This window comes from Homo sapiens, chromosome 3 (genome assembly GCF_000001405.40).
Source record: "Homo sapiens chromosome 3, GRCh38.p14 Primary Assembly".
In the NCBI taxonomy this organism is placed as follows: Eukaryota; Metazoa; Chordata; class Mammalia; order Primates; family Hominidae; genus Homo; species Homo sapiens.
The window spans coordinates 115,710,859-115,731,792 of NC_000003.12; the positions used below are offsets into that span (position 1 = coordinate 115,710,859).

General features: G+C 37.4%; 1 protein-coding gene across 2 annotated transcripts in view, besides 2 other annotated features; it reads left to right on the forward strand.

Moving 5' to 3' along the window:
- Window positions 1-10,625, forward strand: part of GAP43 (growth associated protein 43) — a 97,974-nt gene extending 87,349 nt beyond the window's left edge. For both annotated transcript variants that reach the window (NM_001130064.2, NM_002045.4), the window contains one exon: window positions 9,936-10,625. In NM_001130064.2, the coding sequence (NP_001123536.1) occupies window positions 9,936-10,024 (89 nt within the window). In that variant the 3' untranslated portion in view covers window positions 10,025-10,625. The remainder of the gene's footprint in view (window positions 1-9,935) is intronic.
- Window positions 2,167-2,667: an enhancer, noted in NCBI's record as "H3K4me1 hESC enhancer chr3:115431872-115432372 (GRCh37/hg19 assembly coordinates)". NCBI's record gives its function as "activates a minimal SCP1, AML or CMV promoter by ChIP-STARR-seq in naive H9 embryonic stem cells {active_cell/tissue: H9 hESC(naive)}" and the evidence as "EXISTENCE:reporter gene assay evidence [ECO:0000049][PMID:30033119]".
- Window positions 2,668-3,168: an enhancer, noted in NCBI's record as "H3K4me1 hESC enhancer chr3:115432373-115432873 (GRCh37/hg19 assembly coordinates)". NCBI's record gives its function as "activates a minimal SCP1, AML or CMV promoter by ChIP-STARR-seq in naive H9 embryonic stem cells {active_cell/tissue: H9 hESC(naive)}" and the evidence as "EXISTENCE:reporter gene assay evidence [ECO:0000049][PMID:30033119]".
- Window positions 10,626-20,934: the final 10,309 nt, after the last annotated feature.

The window sequence follows — 20,934 nt, forward strand, 5'->3', positions numbered from 1 at the left end:
TTCCGTTTTTATGTTTGGTAAGATAATGAAACCAAACTATCAGCTTCAATGTCTCAGTGAATCCAGCCTGCCAAGGCATAAAGATAAAGCATGTTTTTGGGTTTTGAATGTCATCTGCCCCAGTCTCCTAGAAAAATATCATACCATAAAGGAAAGATTACTGGGCTGTGAGTCAGGAGTCCTGGATTTCAGTGCTGCCTTTTTCAATTTTATGACCATAGTAGAGAAATTACCTAATTTCTTACAGCTTCAATTTTCTTATCAAAAAATTGGGTGTTAAAGTATCTCTTACGTTCCTCCAAGCTTTAGATTTCTGTGGTTATACCATATATCAAAGTTCTTAAATAAAGCTATAAATTCTTCACGGTCATATGTGTGTGTGTGTGCACGTGCACGCATGTATTTGGAATTCCCCTGGGAGAATAAAATAGTCCTTATTTCAAAAAGAATTCAGGAAATTATTTGACGGCAAAGTGCTATGAGCCAACACTGCAACTGTGATAATGACCACTTGCAATCAATTTATGGCAAGCTCACAAGAATTTGAAAATGCTGAGAGAAAAGAGCTCCTGAAACTCAGGTCTTTAGAAGTCCATGATAAAGTTTGGGCACACGTGGGATTTTTAAGTTCTAAATACACACACACACACACACCCCCCTACAGAAAGGAGGAAAACAAAAATTCCTAGGTTGAAATGTCTCTAATCATCACTATTAGTTAACAACACTCACTATCGCATTATTTTTCTATTCTTGTCATGGCATTTCTCATAATTTCTCAGTGCCATTGGAACCATCAGTGTTTATCTTTAGGCTGACTCTGCATTCTACCTCTTCCCTCCAACCCCCAAACAAACTGAAGCAATGCCTCAATAGACCCACAGATTCCACTGCCAGCTCAGCATGTAATTTAGCTGGGAGCAGGGATGAGGGAGTGATTTTATTTGACTGTTTGTTATACTAAAGTGAGAATACCCTTAATTTCTTGTTTTAATTTTTAACCTTTAGAAGTTGACTTATTCATTGTAATAATGGTAAGAAATAAAGTTAACATCATTTAACTTAATATATTTACTTCATCTTATTCCAAAAATTATTGAGGGCAAGTAGGCAAGCCATGTAAATTATAATTATTGATGTTTCTGCATATTTCTAGTTGGGGAAGAAGAGAGAACACTAATTTTTGATGATTTGATAGACATTTTTTATAAATAATGTTTTAAGAAGTTTTCAAGGCTAGTCAACTTGTACCTTCTTTGGCTTTAGTTTTAATTTTTTAAAAAAATATCTCTGGGTTTTTTCTCCATTCAGAAAAAAACACTGTCTTTTGTTCTATAGACTAGAAATATTATATTCTGTCCTAGTTTTATAAGAGTAGCTGTCTTTAATTAATAGTCACTCATATCTTTATTTTCTGAGTAGTGCTCTCTAATTAATTAGTCATTCATATCTTTGTTTCCTCATCAGAGTCAGACTTTACAGAAACATTCTAGGGGAGAAGGTCTCTTAATCATCTGTCTGGGAAAGAAGTTTTTTGGTGGGTAGTGGAAGAATTGCTTTTTTTCCTCTTGAGACTATTAAAACTTGGCAGCTAGAATTAGGTTGAGTGAATTTCTCAAATCCTTCATTTCCTGAAGGTTGGATTAAAATTCAGCAAATCTCAAACCCCATAAATTGGATTAAAATCTCGACAAACTACATTCTGCACTTTAGATTTTATAAAGCACTTTCAAATACCTCCCTTCAAACTCCAAACAACCCACGATAAGGTAGGGCACGCATTATTATTCATATTATGTGTATATTAGGAAACTGAGACAAAGAAAGGAAAAGCATCTTCTCTGAAGTCGTATGATTAGTTAGTGGCAAAGTCTAGGCTAGAATAGGAATCAGCCTGGTCTTAGGCCTAAACTTGAGGGAAAAAGTAGACATGTAGATGGCATATTGCAGATATCACTGAGACCCCATCATGCTGCCTCTGATTTTTCTTCTTGGTTACTCTTTGAAATCCTTTAGTGTATAGTGTTATTAGCAAAAAGGTTATTCTCTCTTTTAAGTGCTTGGAAAGTAAGGAAGAAATGGGGGCAGAGATGTTACTTGCATAATTCTCCTCACATCAAAATGAAATATACTGGCTCAGTGTTTTGAAAGGAACTTAAAATGTGAAACATGGTAATGAAACGAGCAAAATGTGGATCACAGTGACCACTGAAAGCCATGATCCAGGCTCCAGATGGACATCTGGTATATAGCTAAAGAAAAAGACTGTGTGAGCAACAAAAGGGCCATATGTGAGTTAGCTGCCAAAGATTTTTATTATTATTATTATTACTTTCCTTTGAGCTTTTGAGGTGATGATGCTTAATATTCAAGAAAGATGAAAATAAAAAGAGAGGAAGCAAACACCCAGCTCATTGGTGATTGGTAGAGTAATTGTGGGCATGGCCCCAGGATGATAGCAGCTTCTATTTAATCAATGTTGACAAGGCTGGGGAGAGCTGGGCAGGTCCCAAGAGGTAATGTTTTACTCGGAAATCCACTCAACCTAATTTCAGTAATGTAGGGCTGTGGAAGGGCCTGGACTGGAGCCAGAAAACAGGGCCATTAGAGCTCAGTGTAGGCAATGGCAGCTGGGAACATCGCCATCCCTCCAGCAGCATTGCAACCAGGCTGCCTGGCTGAGCGCACAAGCAGCCGCTGCTGCATATGCTCCTGGTATTTGCTCACCAACAGAATGCATCGACATGCTATTCTCATCCTTTCAAGGAAATGAATGGAATGCATAAAGGCAAGAACTGCTTCCAAACTCTATTTTAGCAAGAATCAGAGAGCAAGTTTGGCATACATCTTTCAAGGACCACTGTGAAATTGTCCACTTAATCCCCTGAATCCTTTAAGGCTACCATTACATTGTTGTAAATACATGCAGAGATAACTTAGATCTTTATTGCTGTCTTAGTGTGGTTTTGATCTTTCTTAGGAATTGTGGTTGTGGATCAAGAATATGGAAACTACTATGGTTTTTCCTTTTTCAAAACTTCTGAGATTCATTCAAATTAGTCAGCTTTGCAAATCCAAGAGAAGTGACCCAGGACGAATTACGCTCCTTAGGGCTGAGTGCTTCTTATCTAGCTGTTCTTTCCTTTACCATTCTTTCTCCAATAAACAACACATTATTACAGTAATTTGCTAGCATATAAATTCCAATAACTTAGAGGTTTTTGCTTTGTGTTTTCATGGCTGTGTCACCACTGCTATACTTGCAGTTCGTGGAACAGTGTATGGACATAGTAAGACATAATTTCTTTCACTGGATGAATAAATGAATGAATGAAAACATTTTCTTTCTTCCCTTTTGAAGGATCCTTGAGCTATCATGCATCAAGAATATATGAATTTACTTTCTATGATGTTAACTTTCTCTTTTTAAGTTAACACAGAAATGACAAAATTCATGGAGGCTGCCAGTGAACGTGGTGGTAATCTCTAAGCTGTCTTTGGGCTTGGAAGAGCAATGTTTTTGTCAAGGCTAAAATGCCATGGCATGGGCAGGTTACAGCTTTCTATCAGATTCTAACATTATCTGTCCAAATGACTGAATATAATTTTTGAGACTAAATCGTGGCACAGCAAGAGTATTTAATCAACTTCATTAAATAATTTAATCAAGTTTTTGAGCCTCTAGCTTAAGCCTCTCATATAAATAAGGTTATTTACTCCTGAAAATATGACTATGTTCCATTTGAAAAATTTGTGTCTTGAAAAAACTTTTTTCCCCTAAAAGGAAAAAAAGCCTAAACTACTAAAACTAAATTTAAAACTAAAACACATCATCGATTTTTGTTTATTGTTTTTTTTTTTTAGACACATTCGGTTTTATAATAGAACTGGATTTGGGGGATTGATTTTGCCCTGGTAAAGATGGATTTGGGGAGAAGCCATCACTAGGTAGATAATAGTAATAGTCTTAGGAAATTCATTCAATGGTCACTACATAGATACACGTGTGCGCGTGCACACACACACACACACACACACATACAGCCCGAGTGTCTTTGGCTGCTATAATAAAATACCATAAACTAGGTGGCTTATAAACAACAGACAAATCCTGGTAAGGGCCAGCTTTCTCTGTACCTTGCTGTGTCCTCACATGGTAGAAGAGACTAGCTAGTTCTCTGTTGTGTCTTTCATAAAGACACTAATCCCAGTCATGAGTCCGCTACCCTCATGATTTAACCACCTCCCAAAGATTCCTACTCCTAATGCCGTCACCTTAGGGGGTTAGAATTTCAACATATGAATTTTGAAGGAACACAGACATTTAATGCATAATACTGTGACTCATTTTTGTTTTTCCTGTAATGTCTTAAACAAAATAACAGTACTAATATTAAGTTTTAATGTTTAATACAAGTAAAAGTACTATTCAGAGGCAAACTGAAAAAGAACAAGCATATTCTACGCTTCGCCTTGCTGGATTTCAGCCGTCACACTAGCACTTCCAGGCTTTCCTCATTTGCCAGCTCCAGGTCATTGCTTCTACTCACTTGTTCTATGTCACCTGGTGTTGAAAATCACACTTCAATCTTCTAGACTCTATAGCCCCTTCCTAAGTAATAACTGTCTCAGAGGGAGGTTGATCCGCTAGATGAGGAATGTGACTATTTACTCTAAATGGAACATGGTAATTGGAGTGACCAGCTGGCCCCAGCCATTCATTTGTCTTTGACACTCACCATGATGATCAAAGATTTTGCACAAAATACTAAAGATTACATATTAACTCATCTCTAGCATTTACAAATCACATAATTAGTGCTGGAAAGTGCCAAGACCAGATTTTATACTACAGAAGACTTATCAGGATTCTTCCCTTCATTTTTAGCTGCTTTTAATGGTACAATTTTTAAACGTTGTAATCTTCAGACCTACATAGCTGTGGACCGGACTCCCTGCTTTAGTTATCACTCTGAACTTACCCATTCTTTTTGGGCAAAGGTAAAACCAGGGAAAGCAACTAAAGTAAAATCTGCTGAGATAACTCTGTCCTACGTTGGAATTTACAGTGTGGCCTTACGTAAACCATTCAGTCTCCCTGTGTTTCAGTTTCCCCAGCTGTGAAATGGGGTGATTAAGGTAGATGTGAGAATTAAATGCAATGATACAGGTACACTTCGCACTGTTCTGAGCACATAGTAAGAGCTCGAAAATGTTAACTATAGCTAAATACTTTATACAAAGGACCAGGGAAGTCACAATCCATAATTCTTTCCAGGCAGTTGTTTTAAGCTGCTGAATAGAACAGGTAAGAAAATGTAGATATAAACTAAACAGTCGACATTATTTATCACTGCAATGATTTATCTAGGGTTGACATCAGTGGGAGAATAAGCTAGCAATATCAAAATGTTCCCTCTGATATTCAGGCTTAAATGGAACTATTTATACAAAACTTGGATTCTGTTTATAATAAGTTCTGCTTTGTCAGAGGTTAAAACCTTTCCCAAACTCACATGCAGTCTCCTACCAAAAGTAGGGCTAGCTAGAGCAGGTGTATTGTCCACATCTGGCTATTGTTCCCTTATTTGGATGTAGAATTTTTAAAAAATGTTATCATGAGTTCTTAGTTTATCTCACTTTGGAAGCTGTAATAGATTGTTTCTTTACATTGTTTCCTCCATCCATATTTTATTTTCCTCTCCATAATTTCTTGGTGGCCTATAAAACTTTCACTGCATCCATTGACTTGACCCACTTTTTTTTCTGCCAACTAGTCATCCCTTCGCTTAAAACAAAGCAAATATTTTGCTTAATATTCAATAATATCAAGTAAAAAATTACTTTAATCTCAGACAAATATATATATATATATATATATATATATATATATATATATATATATATATACAGAGAGAGAGAGAGAGAGAGAGTTTTATATGTTCCAGCTAACTGACTAACATTTCCTTTTGTAGCCATCTAATCGAGTTTCATCAATTTTAATTTTACGGGTTTTATTTTATAATTTGGAGCCAACAATTTTTTAATCTCCAAAGTTGTATGGGTCACTAAAACCCTATGGACTCTAGCTACTTAGTTTCAGTGCCGAATTGCTAAAATGAGTTTGGCCACCTGATATAATCGGAAAAACTGAACAAATAGACCTGAGTTTTAGCTCTGGCTTGGTCATAAGCAAGTCATATGATTTAGGGAAAGTTCCTTTATGCACCTAGACTTCAGTGTCATCACCTGTAAAATGAGGCTGTCCAGTCATTCCTTCACTCAAGAAATATTTACTGAGGTTCTTTCCTGAATGAGGTTATGTGCTGGACATGGGATTCAAGGTTGAGCTGAAGTAGGTACTGCTGTTACCCTTGAAGAGTTTATGGTTTAGTGACTGGATGATCTTAAAGGGTCCACTCATTTCTAACATTCTATATTTATAAATTTTATTGTCTTTTTTTTTTTTTGACAGAGTTTCACTTTTGTCCCCCAGGCCGGAGTGCAATGGCAGGATCTCTGCTCACTGTAACCTCCGCCTCCCAGGTTCAAGTGATTTTCCTGCTTCAGCCTCCCTAGTAGCTGGGATTATAGGCACATGCCACTATGCCCAGCTACTTTTATATTTTTAGTAGCGACGGGGTTTCACCATTTTGGCCAAGCTGGTCCCGAACTCCTGACCTCAGGTGATCCACCCATCTCAGCCTCCCAAAGTGCTGGGATTACAGGTGTGAGCCACCGCACCCAGCCTGAATTTTATTGTCTTTTAAAGGTATATTATGAAAGGCTTTAAGGAGAGCAAGGATTTTGCTTTTTTTTTTTTTTTTCTCAGTACCTAGAAGAATGCCTGGCACAGTGCAGGTGTCCAGTAACAACTTATTGAACAAATAAATTAATAAATATTTACATTTAAAATACTTTGAAGCATTTGAGAAAATGAATATATATTGAGGCTCTCTCAATAGAGCTTCATAATTTCCTGTCATAATAAACAGATTTGTGCCAAATTTCGTCTTTTGTCCTAGGACCAGGCAATGGATGACAAGAGAAAGTGGGAGAATTTGGGAGGATTTAGCTTGATTGTATTCCAACAAGGGAACAGAAAGTGTAGCTGCATCTCAGAACCATCTGAATGTTCAAGTTTCTGTTTCTGCATTTTTGAGTTTTATTCCCTTTATTCAACAAACATGCAATTCTCACCTTTCCCAGTCTACTTCCCTTTTTCTCTCATTTCCTAATCTCCCTCTAAGCATACATAATAGCTCCCATGTCTTTATTTTGGAAGGAGAGATTTGAAGTCTTCTCTTGTTCCTATAACTACTATCTTTCTATATGTTTCTGGGTTGTGTAAATCAATATTATGTTTATTTTGCAGTTTGAAAAGGGCACTAAAAACATTGCTTCTTGGAACTGATAAGGATGGTAAACTACCTTGGGCATACTTGTAATATCCAAAGGTTTGAGCAGGGTTAGGGAACCAAGCAAACTCTCCAAAAGAATTCCTAATTGTTTTAGAAGGACTTCACTGAAATAAATCTGGAATCTTTCTTCTGGTAGAAAATTAAATACCTCATTAGCACACCAAAATTTTTGTAATTCCTGAGGAATACTGCTGATGCATAGTGTATTATAATGATCAGAATTGAGTTAGTTTCATGCAAAACTTGGATAGGTGCACTGTGTTCAACAGGTAATTACAGTCACTTTGGAAAGCTATAGCCTTAAAAAAATCTTATAAGTAGTAGTAGGTAGCATCACTAGAATAGCTATATTTTATGAATAGCTTATAGTGAGTTATGAACCCTATAAAATAAGTCAGACTTTAAAACCCTGGTCAAAAGTGAGTATTATAAGGTAAAATTACCCATCGTAGCTGCTTACTTTATTTACCAGACTAGTCTAGTTAGATTCTAAAAACCTAACCTATTTTCAAAAAATAAGCATTTCTGCTACTGAAGAGCTCTAAAAGAATGTTTTTTGATAGGTATTTCAGAGAAGAAATTCCATAAATTTGTTTAATAATGGTGGGTATAAATGTTCAGCTTCATCTGAATGTAAATATGTAGCTGGCTGATTTAAAAGAGACATACATTTTGATGAGCTCTTTTAATGGTCTCCTTAATGACCCCATTTCTCTAATCTCAACATCTATGTACAGTAAAACTATTTTATTTAGTATTCCTAGTTTAATCTCCTCAAAGCATAGCTGTATTATGTTCCTTGCTCAAGTGCTTTCAAGCTATGTCTGTTATCTTCTAATTAAACACAAATTTGTTAGCCTAACAAAATTACATGGACTCCAGTTTACCTTTCCAAGAATAATCAGCACCTAGTAGTTGTTAAGAGGAGGACAAGCAATAACAATAGCTCCATTTTAAGACAGAGGCATCGTCAATATCAGGGATTGAGGAAAAAAAAAAACAGTTAATACAGTAGGCCTGGGACTGCTATCCTTAGAAAGGCTTGTTTGTAAAGTTGACCATTGGCTGGCATCTGGGATCTTGGATTTTGAGAAGATTCTCATCATTCCTTAACTGATAAGAGTGGTTCCAGGTGCCTAAAATCATAGTACAAACAATGTGGTTTATGCTGAACATCTATTTTTCTTCTGGGAGTCTGAATTTTGTACCTGCTTGCTGGAGGGTGCCTACATGACCTATTACCAGTGCAAACTCACTCAGTTAAACTTCCCTAATAGATGACATCTTCCATGTGTTATGGTAATTTATTGCTGAAAGAATTAAGCACATCCTGGGTGACTCCATGGGGAGAAGACTCTTAGAAATTTGTTTGGTTTCCTCCAAACTTTGCCCATGCGCAACTTTCAGCTTTGCTTATTTTGCTTTGTGTTTTTTCGCTGCAATAAATTTTAGTTATGAAGCAGACTGCATGCTGAGTCCCATGAGTCCTCCTAGCAAATCACTGAACCTAGGGGTGGTCTTGGGGGACACTGACACAGGGAGTTGATTGTTTGGCAACACAAGTTGTTTCAGAGCAAATGAATTCTTTTTCCACAAGCTAGCATATTAGTAAACTATCAGGGAGCATAAAATCAGTTGACTGAGTTCTGTCGGGAAACAAAGGGAAAATTTTTCTTCAAAAAGACATGATATCCTCCCTGTTAAGCAAAGCAGTACTTTCCCTGTGGATAAGTGTATTCAGTTGGAATGTGCTTGGCTGCAAGAAACTGAAAACTATTATATTACAATGCTTTAAAGAGGCTAGTGACTTGTTTCTGAGGGAAAGATATCTAGGAGTGGTACAGTCACTCAGTGATGATTTTTTCTTTTTGCTCCACCATCCTTAGTGTATAGTTTTTGTCTTCATGGTCACAAGGCAGCTGCTACAGTGCCATGTATTGTTTGATGTCCAAGTGATCAGGAATAGGAGAATGTGAAGGGCAAAACCCAACTCTGCCCTCTCTAGGGACTTCAATTTCTATATAATTGACTAGCACTGTCCCACAGGAGCTGAAAATTCAACTACTTCACTTTTCAATACTGGAAATGAGTGGTAAGAAACTTGGACTAGATGATCGATGGTCCACATAAATTATCTGTCACAATTCTTCTGACACTAATAGAACAGCAATACAAGATTGTCGTTGATTCCCTATGTGAAGATCCTGTATGTGGATACCTTGATTGTAAGGCTGAGAGATTAAAGACCATAGTAACTTTTGTTAAGTGGTCTCCTTGTCACTCACATACCTTTGCTCCTGAGTTCTTCCATAGGTGCCACTGAACAGCTTCCTTGAGGTAAACTCTTCTGAACTTGTAACCTACATTAACTGGGATATTAATAATCTCTTTTAATCTTAATGCTCTTATGAAATGACATAAAAAGAAGAAATGCATTGCACTGTTGTATGAGCAGATAAGACAAAATACTAATTCTCTCCTTTTCCCCCCATCCTATCTTGTTTTCTTTCTCAGAAGCTGTAGATGAAACCAAACCTAAGGAAAGTGCCCGGCAGGACGAGGGTAAAGAAGAGGAACCTGAGGCTGACCAAGAACATGCCTGAACTCTAAGAAATGGCTTTCCACATCCCCACCCTCCCCTCTCCTGAGCCTGTCTCTCCCTACCCTCTTCTCAGCTCCACTCTGAAGTCCCTTCCTGTCCTGCTCACGTCTGTGAGTCTGTCCTTTCCCACCCACTAGCCCTCTTTCTCTCTGTGTGGCAAACATTTAAAAAAAAAAAAAAAAAGCAGGAAAGATCCCAAGTCAAACAGTGTGGCTTAAACATTTTTTGTTTCTTGGTGTTGTTATGGCAAGTTTTTGGTAATGATGATTCAATCATTTTGGGAAATTCTTGCACTGTATCCAAGTTATTTGATCTGGTGCGTGTGGCCCTGTGGGAGTCCACTTTCCTCTCTCTCTCTCTCTCTGTTCCAAGTGTGTGTGCAATGTTCCGTTCATCTGAGGAGTCCAAAATATCGAGTGAATTCAAAATCATTTTTGTTTTCCTCCTTTTCAATGTGATGGAATGAACAAAAAGGAAAAAATTCAAAAAACCCAGTTTGTTTTAAAAATAAATAAATAAAGCAAATGTGCCAATTAGCGTAAACTTGCGGCTCTAAGGCTCCTTTTTCAACCCGAATATTAATAAATCATGAGAGTAATCAAGGTCCAATGGCTCTGTGTTTCTGTTCTACCTTCTCATTAGTTGGTTGGACATGCTAGGGTCTTACATTTTCATCTTTTTCTTCTCTCAGTTTTACATCAGCAACCCTGATAAAGAAAACACAGATGAAGCCTAAGGCTCTGGTCAAGACCAATAGCTCCGGCCCTCGAGGGAGACATCTGTTGCAGGCCTGTCTCTTTGGCTTATGGGTGGCTATCTTTTAACTGTGCCTCTTCACATCTTCCCTTTATGCCTGTCTTTGTGTCCAAATTTCCCCATTTTGTAAAGATACTAGTGATACTGAGTTGGGCCCACCCTAATGACCTCACTTTAACTTAATTGCCTCTGTCAAAGCCTCATTTTTAAATGAGGTCACATTCTGAGGTACTGGAGCTTAAGGCTTCAACATATAAATTTGGGGGATAGGGCACAATTCAGCCCATAAGAGACACTAATTTATGACCAGTGTATCCAACATGGTGAAACCCTATCTTTACAAAAAATACAAAAACTTAGCCTGGCATGGTGGTGGGCGCCTGTAATCCCAGCCACTCGGGAGGCTGAGGCTGACATTGTGCCATTGCACTCCAGCCTGGGCTACTGAGAGAGACTCCATCTCAAAAACAAACAAACAAACAAACAAAAAAACACTAAGACTCACTCTTACTAAAATAACCTCAAGAGTATTTTCATTATGTAAGAGAAGTTTAGTTTATCCAGTGAAAAGTTATTCTAGGTTTTGCTAAGGTAAATATTACAAAGAGGAGCTGGGCGAGGTGGCACATGCCTGTAGTTCCAGCTACTTGGGAGGCTGAGGTGGGAAGATAACTCGAGCTCAGGAGTTAAAAAGTCCAGCCTAGGCAACCTAAAGTGACCCTGTCTATAAAAAATAAATTCATTATAGAGATGTGTACAACTCTTGGAAACCCCCAGGCTTTTGTTTAATTAATTTATTTTAACCCAAGTATTGAGCCAGTCCATTGTATCTTTTTCAGCTTATAAATTATGTTGAATTTACAATTCCTACACAGGGCAGCTGTCAGATTCTTGATTAGTTATAATCATTATACCTGCTGATGTTGATAGTATATAAAGAAAAGGTGTACATTTAGCACATCCATTTCAAATTTCCAGTTCCAGTTTTTAAAATGCCTTCTATTAGAAGGTAAACAGTTCTTATAAGAAACAAAGCAATATCTCTAAGTCCTGAAGTATCTATGCTCTATATCCCTCCCTACATTTTCTAAATCAATTCTGGTGCAGATTCCTAACATGTCATGTTCTGCTCTAGCCCTGAGTCTCCTCTCATAGACATGCATGGCCAGGGGGTTCCCTTCAGCTTTCTACCCTCACCTGCAGATAGAACTTCCTAGCTAGGAAGAGACAACTAAGTCAAAGAGAAAGTCCTCATACTAATGAAGATCAATGAAATAAGTCATCCTCGGAGTTTCAACCTGTACCTCGGTAACTATGCTCAGCTTTGTGTAGAGCTAGTGCCTAATTAATCAAAGAAAGGTGAAGCCATATGAAAAATGAGTCCTCACTGAATCAACAGGGTCTTTCCTTGGTCACTGACACTAAGTCGAATTTTCATTGGGAGAAACAACCTAAAGAAAAAGGTTAGAAAGTATCAATAACATATATTAAAACAATTTAAGAGTTTGATTTCATTCTGAGTTGATCTGAATTTCATGGAAGACTTGGAAGCAAGAATGTCTGGGGCTCAGTCATGATCTGATTAGAGTCTCATCAGATGTGGAATAAGCTGCTGAAAAGATCATTCATAGATTGAAGTTATATCACATAGGATATCTGGCAACATACTGCTTTAAAAATTCTATTTTACCTCAAAGGTTTTTGTTTTGTTTTTGTGTTTTGGTAAGAAATGCTTTAATCTCTTTCTCAAATCTATACCTGAAAGCAACATTCCTATGACTTGGAAAAATTCAACTTCTTCAAAATACAATTCTAAACATCTTCTGCTGAATCTCTATTTATACTGAAAGCAATAGCCTATGATCTTTTAGGCACATATTAGTATATACTGTTTAGTGGTCTTATTACTTGTGTTAGGGTTGGGAATTTTTTTTACTTATTAGTATCTAAATTTATTTCATTTATAAACTTTTGGTTCCTTAATAGAATTGTAAAGGTGGAGGAAGACACATTAGAGAGGCTCATAATAGAGCCTCTAAGACACCATAGAGAGGCCCCCAAAAGACATACCAAGAATCATTGCAGCCCTAACACTAAATGCAAAACAATGTGACTCAAACTTACAGACAATACACAAAGTCAGGGAGCAATTGGGACGAATAGGCCATTCAAGACACAGAAACATACAGTTTCTAAATTCTGTTCAGAAACAACCTAAGTTGTTGATTCTGAAACACCTAAATCTGGACTACTTTGAAAAATAAAAACTAGGTTGAGGACAAGTCAAAAAGACCTCAACACTGACAGGTGATTTTTTTCAAATAGTAATAAGGTCAGACAGTGGGCTCCAGACCCAACATCTCATTGATAGCAAAATCATTGCCTTGTCTGTATAAAATAAGGTCTTTTGACTGAGGTCTATTATTTGGGTCTAAAATGTTCAGCTACGATGTAATACAATTTAAGTCTCTTTGAAGATAAAAGGATTTCTAAAATAGAACTCTTTATCTCTATCACCCAATCCACATTTGGCTGATTTTCCTGTCTTTTACACCATCATCTACCCAGTGGCTTAGGTCAGAAATCTAGAAAGAAACTTGATTCCTCTTTTTTTTTTCACATAACATTTAATTCATGAGAGCAAATCTACTGCTGTGGATTTCAAAAGGGAATAAAGATAAAATTTGTGCCTGTTGCTCTGACCAATCCTGCACTTTTCTTGGTCAGTCTGTGGTGATCTAAGGGTTCTTTTACAGTGATTCCACCCCACACTCAGTTCAAAAGAAAAATCACAGAAGAATTAGAAAACTCTGTGTCAGTAACCTGGGTTAGAGGCACTTGGAGTTCTCAAAAATGCATTATTCCCAATGTCAGACACCCCCAGAGAAGCCAGTTAGTTCTGCAGTTGGCATGGAAGCCCAGACAACAGGAAAACCAGATTAATGAATAAGTTCCATACAGCATTATTAAGATCACTACAAGTTCCATTAATTTCTTTTTTTTTTTTTTTTACCTTCCCAACATTGACTGTTCTCATGGAAACACAGCTTCTGTTAAGCTGCTTATAAAAATAACTTAATGATTGGTGATCCTCCTTGATAAATGTCAGCTAATGAGCATTAGAAACATGGGCGTCTTTAATTTTAGATAGAACTCTTGCCTAATTTTTCTTCCTGGGGGGTCAAAGCCCATGTCTGCCTGTTATGTAGGCAAGGCCTGCATCCATGTCTACCACCATTTTCAGTCACGTATTTACCCCGCTATAACCTCATTTTTTCCCTTTCTTCATGGATAAAAATTCAGTCATAAGGAATGAGTACAAGATTGAGCTATGAGAATGATGAGTTATTAAATCCTCTTGGAGAACATTATCAAGGTGTCAGAGATATTTTGAATGTGCATTTTCCAGAAGATTAGTCACCTGATTTGTTTTCTTACAGATATGTGTCATGGTTGGTAATTACAGCATGTTTAGTGTTACAGATGTACCTTACTAAGTACATTTTCAATGAAGTGAGATGCCTCTCCATAGAGGAGAAAAATTTCGGTTAATCTCATATTGTGTAAGATCTGGCTACGGAAGCACATAAATTGTAATTAAATTTTAAGTTTCTTTGATTGTTTAATTATCCAAGCAATACTATTTTATTATAGAAAGGTAGAAAATATAAATAAGGAAAAAGATAAAAATAATCCACAGTTTACTACGCAGAATTAAGCCATATTTATATTTAAAGATTCAGCCTTAGGTAATCTGTCTACCTGCCTAACTGCCTCCTCTCTTCCCATATATCATCCACTTATCTATTTAAGACAAACATGGACTCATGTTATACATATAGTTTTGTAAATAACTTTAGACTTTCAACTGCAAATTTTTAATAATGTGTTTATAATATAATTTTGTTAGCCAGATCCACAAAAGTGGAAAAATTAGCTCAAAGGACATGAGTACTTTAAATGATTTTTATATAGATTGCCATGTTAGAGACAGAGGACTTTAAATCTTGTGGTTTCTATTGCGACTTTCCAGTGCCATGCCAAGCCTCAGAAGCCTGAGACAAAAGGAAAAATGTGCAACCTAATACAAATGCTCTTTAACTTACAATTGGTTTATGTCCCAATGAACTCATTGTAAAATTGAAAAATCGTAAGTCAACCTATTGTAAGTTGAAGACCATTTGCATACACTTATCAAAGTATTGTCCCATAGTTTCAATGAAGTGAGAAAGTTAAAAACAGATCTACAAACAAAAACATGATTATATATAAAACCCTGTGTTGCCCAATCCGTTGATGCGCTGTTGTCAACCTTCGTAAACATGCCTCCTGGTGGACTGGTGGACTGTATTGATTTGCCAGACCAGTAAACTGAGGGCTGAGTGGAAGGGACTTATTCTATTGCACAATAATATAGTCATAAAGCAAATAGTCTGTCTCTATTTAAAATTTTGGTATTTGTTTTTCCATAGATATTTTTGCATTAATTTTGAATTTTGAAATATTACATTAAAATACTTTTTTTTTTTTTTGTCAGACAGTCTCACTCTGTCACCCAGGCTGGAGTGAAGTGGCACAATCTCACTTCACTGCAACCTCCATCACCCGGGTTCAAGTGATTCTCCTGCCTCAGCCTCCTGAGTAGCTGAGATTACAGATGCTTGCCACCACACCCAGCTAATTTTTGTATTTTTTGGTAGAGATGGGGTTTCACCATGTTGGCCAGACTGGTCTTGAACTCCTGACCTCAAGTGCCACCTCCCTCAGCCTCCCAAAGTGCTGCTAGGATTACAGGTGTAAGCCATTGTGCCCGGCCCCAATACTATCTTGATTACTAATTTTTTGATGTAACCTTACATTTTGCACTTAAGGCAAGTAGTCTTAACTTGCCTCACCCTAATCCTGGCCCTGCTGCTCCCAAAGGGAATAGTAGAATCATTGGTTCCCAAACATTTTCTGAGGACCATTAGGCAGCTGTGATTATGTGAGGTCTTAGTGATAACCATGGATTGTAATGCTTGAGAATGGGTGGGGCATGAGGACCTGGGAATTAAATATCTAATATTCCTAGAAAGTTAGTAAGATAACTAAGAAGTTTCCCTGCTTTTTAGAGAAGGCATTGCTATGAACTGACTGTTAGTGTCCCCTTAAAATTTATATGTTGAAGCCTAATTTCCAATGTGATGGTATTTAGAGGTGGAGCATTTGGAAGTAATTACACCATGAGGGTAGACCACCCCCCACTCCGATGGAATCAGTGCCCTTATTAAATGAGGAAGGGACATGAGATTTCTCTGTCTTTCTTCCATGTGGGGATACAGCAAGATAGCGGCCTCTGCAACCTGAAAGAGGGCCCTCAACAGAACTTGACCATGCTACCATCCTGATCTTAGACTTCCAGCCTCCAGAATTGTGAAAAATAAATTTCTATTGTTTATATGCCACCTGGTCTGAGGTACTTTTGTTACTGCAGCCAAAACTGACTTAGTATAGATTATAAAACAGCTGGATACAGACAACAAGGAGTGGTTAGAAACTGGTTTGGGCTATGGAGAAGTAAGAATTCATGATCTATCTAAACCCTCTGAAAATACATTAAAAACTAAACTAGAATAAAACTGGGTCTATCAAACCAAAGCACCAGTTTATAATGCCAACCACTCTTCAGGGTTGCACTTGGGAAGAGTACAGTTATGAAACTAGACGTGGTCATTTGAAAAATTGTGTTCTTACTATGAAGCCACAAAAAAGAATGAGATCATGTCTTCATAGGGACATGAATGGAGCTGGAGGCCATTATTCTTAACAAACTAACACAGAAACAGAAAACCAAATGCCACACACTAAATGATGAGAACACATGGACACATAGAAGGGAACATACACTGAGGCCTTTCCAGAGGGTACAGGGTGGGAGGAGAAAGAGGATCCGGAAAAAATAACTAATGGATGTTAGGCTTAATACCTGGGTGATGAAATAATCTGTACAGCAAATCTCCATGACACAAGTTTACCTATGTAATAAACCTGCATTTGTACACCTGAACTTAAAGTAAAAGTTTAAAAGAAAAAGAAAAATTGTACTCCTGAAGAAGCTGATCAAGTAGAACCTTTTATAAATTGGAGTGTTGTGGGAAACAAGTGCTAATTAATTAACTCACCATGGGTACAAATTTATGTTTAAGCTATAGATAAGAATATGGCTATTTCATTTTACATTTAGAAGTAAAAAGGATATAACTCTCTTTTGGAATTAGAAAAAAAGCATGGGAGGAAAAATATGCTTTAAAATTTTTTTTCTGCCACGTTGGAAAAATAGAACAAGCATAGAAATGAAAGGAGAAACACTGGCATCTGTTTTTCTTTTTCTACCTTCCCTTATGCCTTCTCCTTTCTTCCTAGAGTAAGTAAAATAAGCAAAAGATCTCCAGCCTAGGAACATTGGAGTGTTCACTAAGTAAGGGGAAATGGAGAGACAGCATGAGGGAGGCAGCACCCCTGTTCCAGTTTTAGCAATATCAAGATTCAGTGAAGGTTGTAACCATTACCTCCACCTGAAGGGGAACAGCAGCCTTTGCTTTAGCATCAGAGGTCACCAGTAGGATTCTACAGTGCTGCCTTTGCCTACTTTCTGACCTCCTGCCTCTGAACCACACTGCCAGCCTAGACTTGTGAATCCTGCCTTCTTCTCCTTGATTTAGCCCACCCTGTCTGCTTAGATGACTCCTGCTGGACTGTAAATCCCTTAGGCATGGCATGGGATATTTTGTCCTATTTGGTTCTGTACTCCAGAAGCATCTGAAAATAGCAGGCCAAACTAAATAAATGGATGAATGGATGAATGAATAAATGACTTCTAATTCTTGTCTATCAGTCTCTATCTCTTTTTCCCTTCCTTTGGCTTCACAAACTTCCCTTAGGGGTACCAAGATACCCTTGTCCAAGAGTGAGAAGTATTTCCGTGAGAACTCAGCGCTTTCACGTATCATACCTGATGATGAACTTGGGGCAACAAACTACCACATGAATCTAAGTTATATTCATTCACTAAACGACCAGCTGAGAGATTCAGCCACAATGACCTCATCGTTATCCTTCTCTATTCCACTCCTGACTTTGCATTTTCGGCTCTCCATTACTGCATTCCTGCCTTTGCCTTTCTGCTTTTTTTCTGGTTGGAATGCTCTTCCACAGATATTCACATGGCACTTTCTAGGTCATTTCTCAAATATTACCTTTTCATTGAAGCCTTCAAAGACCAGCCCATTAATATTTTCTACTACCCTTCCTATAAAAATATTTCAAATAGACATAGGTCTTAATTCTATTTAAAATACTATATCCTTTACTTAATTATTTTATTTACCTATCTTCCATTACTAGAATATAAGCTTCATAAAAGTAAGAACTTTCCGTTTTGTTTATGTCTCTAGCTCTTAAGACACTTCCTAGCATCCAATAGGATCTCAGTAAATGGGATATGAATAATTTTTATTTTAAGTACTTTACTTGCTCCTTAAAATTGGCTCTTTCTAACTGTAGATTCATCCATGGACCACTGTCTTGTTACATTCCTTAGCAGGAGGCATCTGTGTTCTGGCCCACCCAGCATCTTTTCACATTCCTCTGATGATACATTACCTCTTCCTATTCTATTTAGCTTCAATGGAGCCAATTCTGATTCTTCTCCTCACCCTCAACATAGAAGAGATACAAGAACCAGGTCAGGCCAATCAGACCATCACATCTCCTGGTACAATGATTGATTTAAGCACAGACACGTGACTCTAGATGTGCTCTCCCTTGGAGTTTTCTGCCAAAGCTAGCAAAACAAACAAACAAACAAACAAACAAACAAAACAAAACCCCCCATTCATTTTGGTAGGATTTCTAAACAAGGGAATGTGAGTCTTCTATAGAGAGTGGCTGTTTGCTCACCATGTGGAGGAGAGAGCCTTTCCAAGAAAAGGAAAGAGACAGTCCTGGTAACATTTGTCCTCTAGATGTAACAATGCCTGAAGTAAGTACTATTCTTGGACTTTTAGTAGCGTGTGTTGATACCCTTTTGTGCTTAAGCTTGCTTAAATTATATTTCCATCATTTACAACTTAAAAGATTCATGATATATTAGCCTTTCCATGTTTGCCCCAGCCCCAATAAACCCCTAGGCATAAGTGACTCTCCAGGGAAGCTCCCACCTAGCTGGTCCTGACTTCTTGGCTCTCGGACATTTTCACAATATTTGTAGGATAAGAATAACATTTGTTGTCTAAAGCAATGTGCATAGCATATCATCATTTCTCCCCCATTAGGTTGATAATATATTTTCTTTTTTTTCCTATTATTTTATTTATATTTTATTTTAAGTTCTGGGATACATGTGCAGGATGTACAGGTTTATTACGTAGGTAAACGTGCGCCATGGTGAGTGTGTTGCTGCACATATCAGCCCATCACCTAGGTATTAAGCCCAGCATGCATTAGCTGTTTTTCCTGATTCTCTCTCTCCCCTTGTTCCCCTGATCCCTGCAAAAGGCCCCAGTGTGTGTGTTGTTCTCCTCCCTGTGTCCATGTGTTCTCATTGTTCAGCTTCCACCTATAAGTGAGAACATGTGGTGTTTGGTTTTCTGTTCTTTTGTTAGTTTGCTGAGGGTAATGGCTTCCAGCTCCATCTATGTCCCTGAAAAGGACATGATCTTGTTCCTTTTTTATGGCTTCATAGTATTCCATGGCATATTTGTACCACATTTTCTTTATCCGTTCTATCATTGATGGGCATTTGGGTTGATTCCATGTCTTTGCTATTGTAAATGGTGCTGCAATGAGCATACATGTGCATATATTTTTACAATAGAATAATTTATATTCCTTTGGTTATATACCCAGTAATGGGATTGCTGTGTCAAATGGTATTTCTGGTTCTAGGTCTTTGAGGAATTGCCACACTGTCTTCTACAATGGTTAAACTAATTTACATTCCCACCAACAGTGTAAAAGTGTTCCTTTTCTCCACAGCCTCACCAGCATCTGTTGTTTCTGGACTTTTTAATAATTGCCATTCTGACTGGCATGAGACAGTATTTCATTGTGGTTTTTGATGGGCATTGAGAAGTGTCTGTTCATGTCCTTTGCCTGTTCATGTACTTTTTAATGGGATAGTTTGTTTTTTTTTCTTGTAAATTTGTTTAAGTTCCTTATGATTCTGGATATTAGACCTTTGTCAGATGGAGAGATTGAAAAATTTTCTCCCATTCTGGAGGCTGTCTGTTAGATCCCATTTGTCAATTTTTGCTTGACAAAAGTTTTCATCATGAAATCTTTGCCAGTGCCTATGTTCTGAATGATATTGCCTAGATTTTCTTCTAGGGTTTTATAGCTTTTGGTTTTACATTTAAGTCTTTAATCCATCATGAGTTAATTTTTGTATAAGGTGTAAAGAAGGGGTCCAGTTTCAATTTTCTGCAATGGCTAGTCATTTCTTCCAGCACCGTTTATTAAATAGGGAATTCTTTCCCCATGGCTTGATTTTGTCAGGTTTGTTGAAGATCAGATGGTTGTAGATGCATGGTCTTGGTTCTGAGTTCTTTATTCTGTTCCATTGGTCTATGTGTTTGTTTTTCTACCAGTACCATGCTGTTTTGGTTTCTGTAGGCTTATAATATAGTTTGAAGTCAGGTAGTGTGATGCCTCTAGCTTTGTTCTTTTTGCTTAGGATTGTCTTGGCTATTCATGTTCTTTTTTGGTTCCATATGAATTTTAAAGTAGTTTTTTTCCAATTCTGTGAAGAATGTCAGTGGTAATTTAATGGGAATACCATTGCATCTATAAATTGCTTTGGGCAGTATGGCCATTTTCACAATATTGATTCTTTCTTTCCTTGAGCATAGAATGTTTTTCCATTTGTTTGGGTCCTCTCTGATTTCTTTGGGCAGTGGTGTGTACTTCTTGAAGAGGTCCTTCATTTCCCTTGTTAGCTGTATTCCTAGTTATTTTATTCTCTTTGTAGCAATTGTAAATGGGAGTTCATTCATGATTTAGTTCTCTGCTTGTCTATTGTTGGTATATAGGAATGCTTATGATTTTTGCACACAGATATTTTACCCCAGGACTTTGCTGAAGTTGCTTATCAGCTTAAGAAGCTTTTGGGCTGAGAGG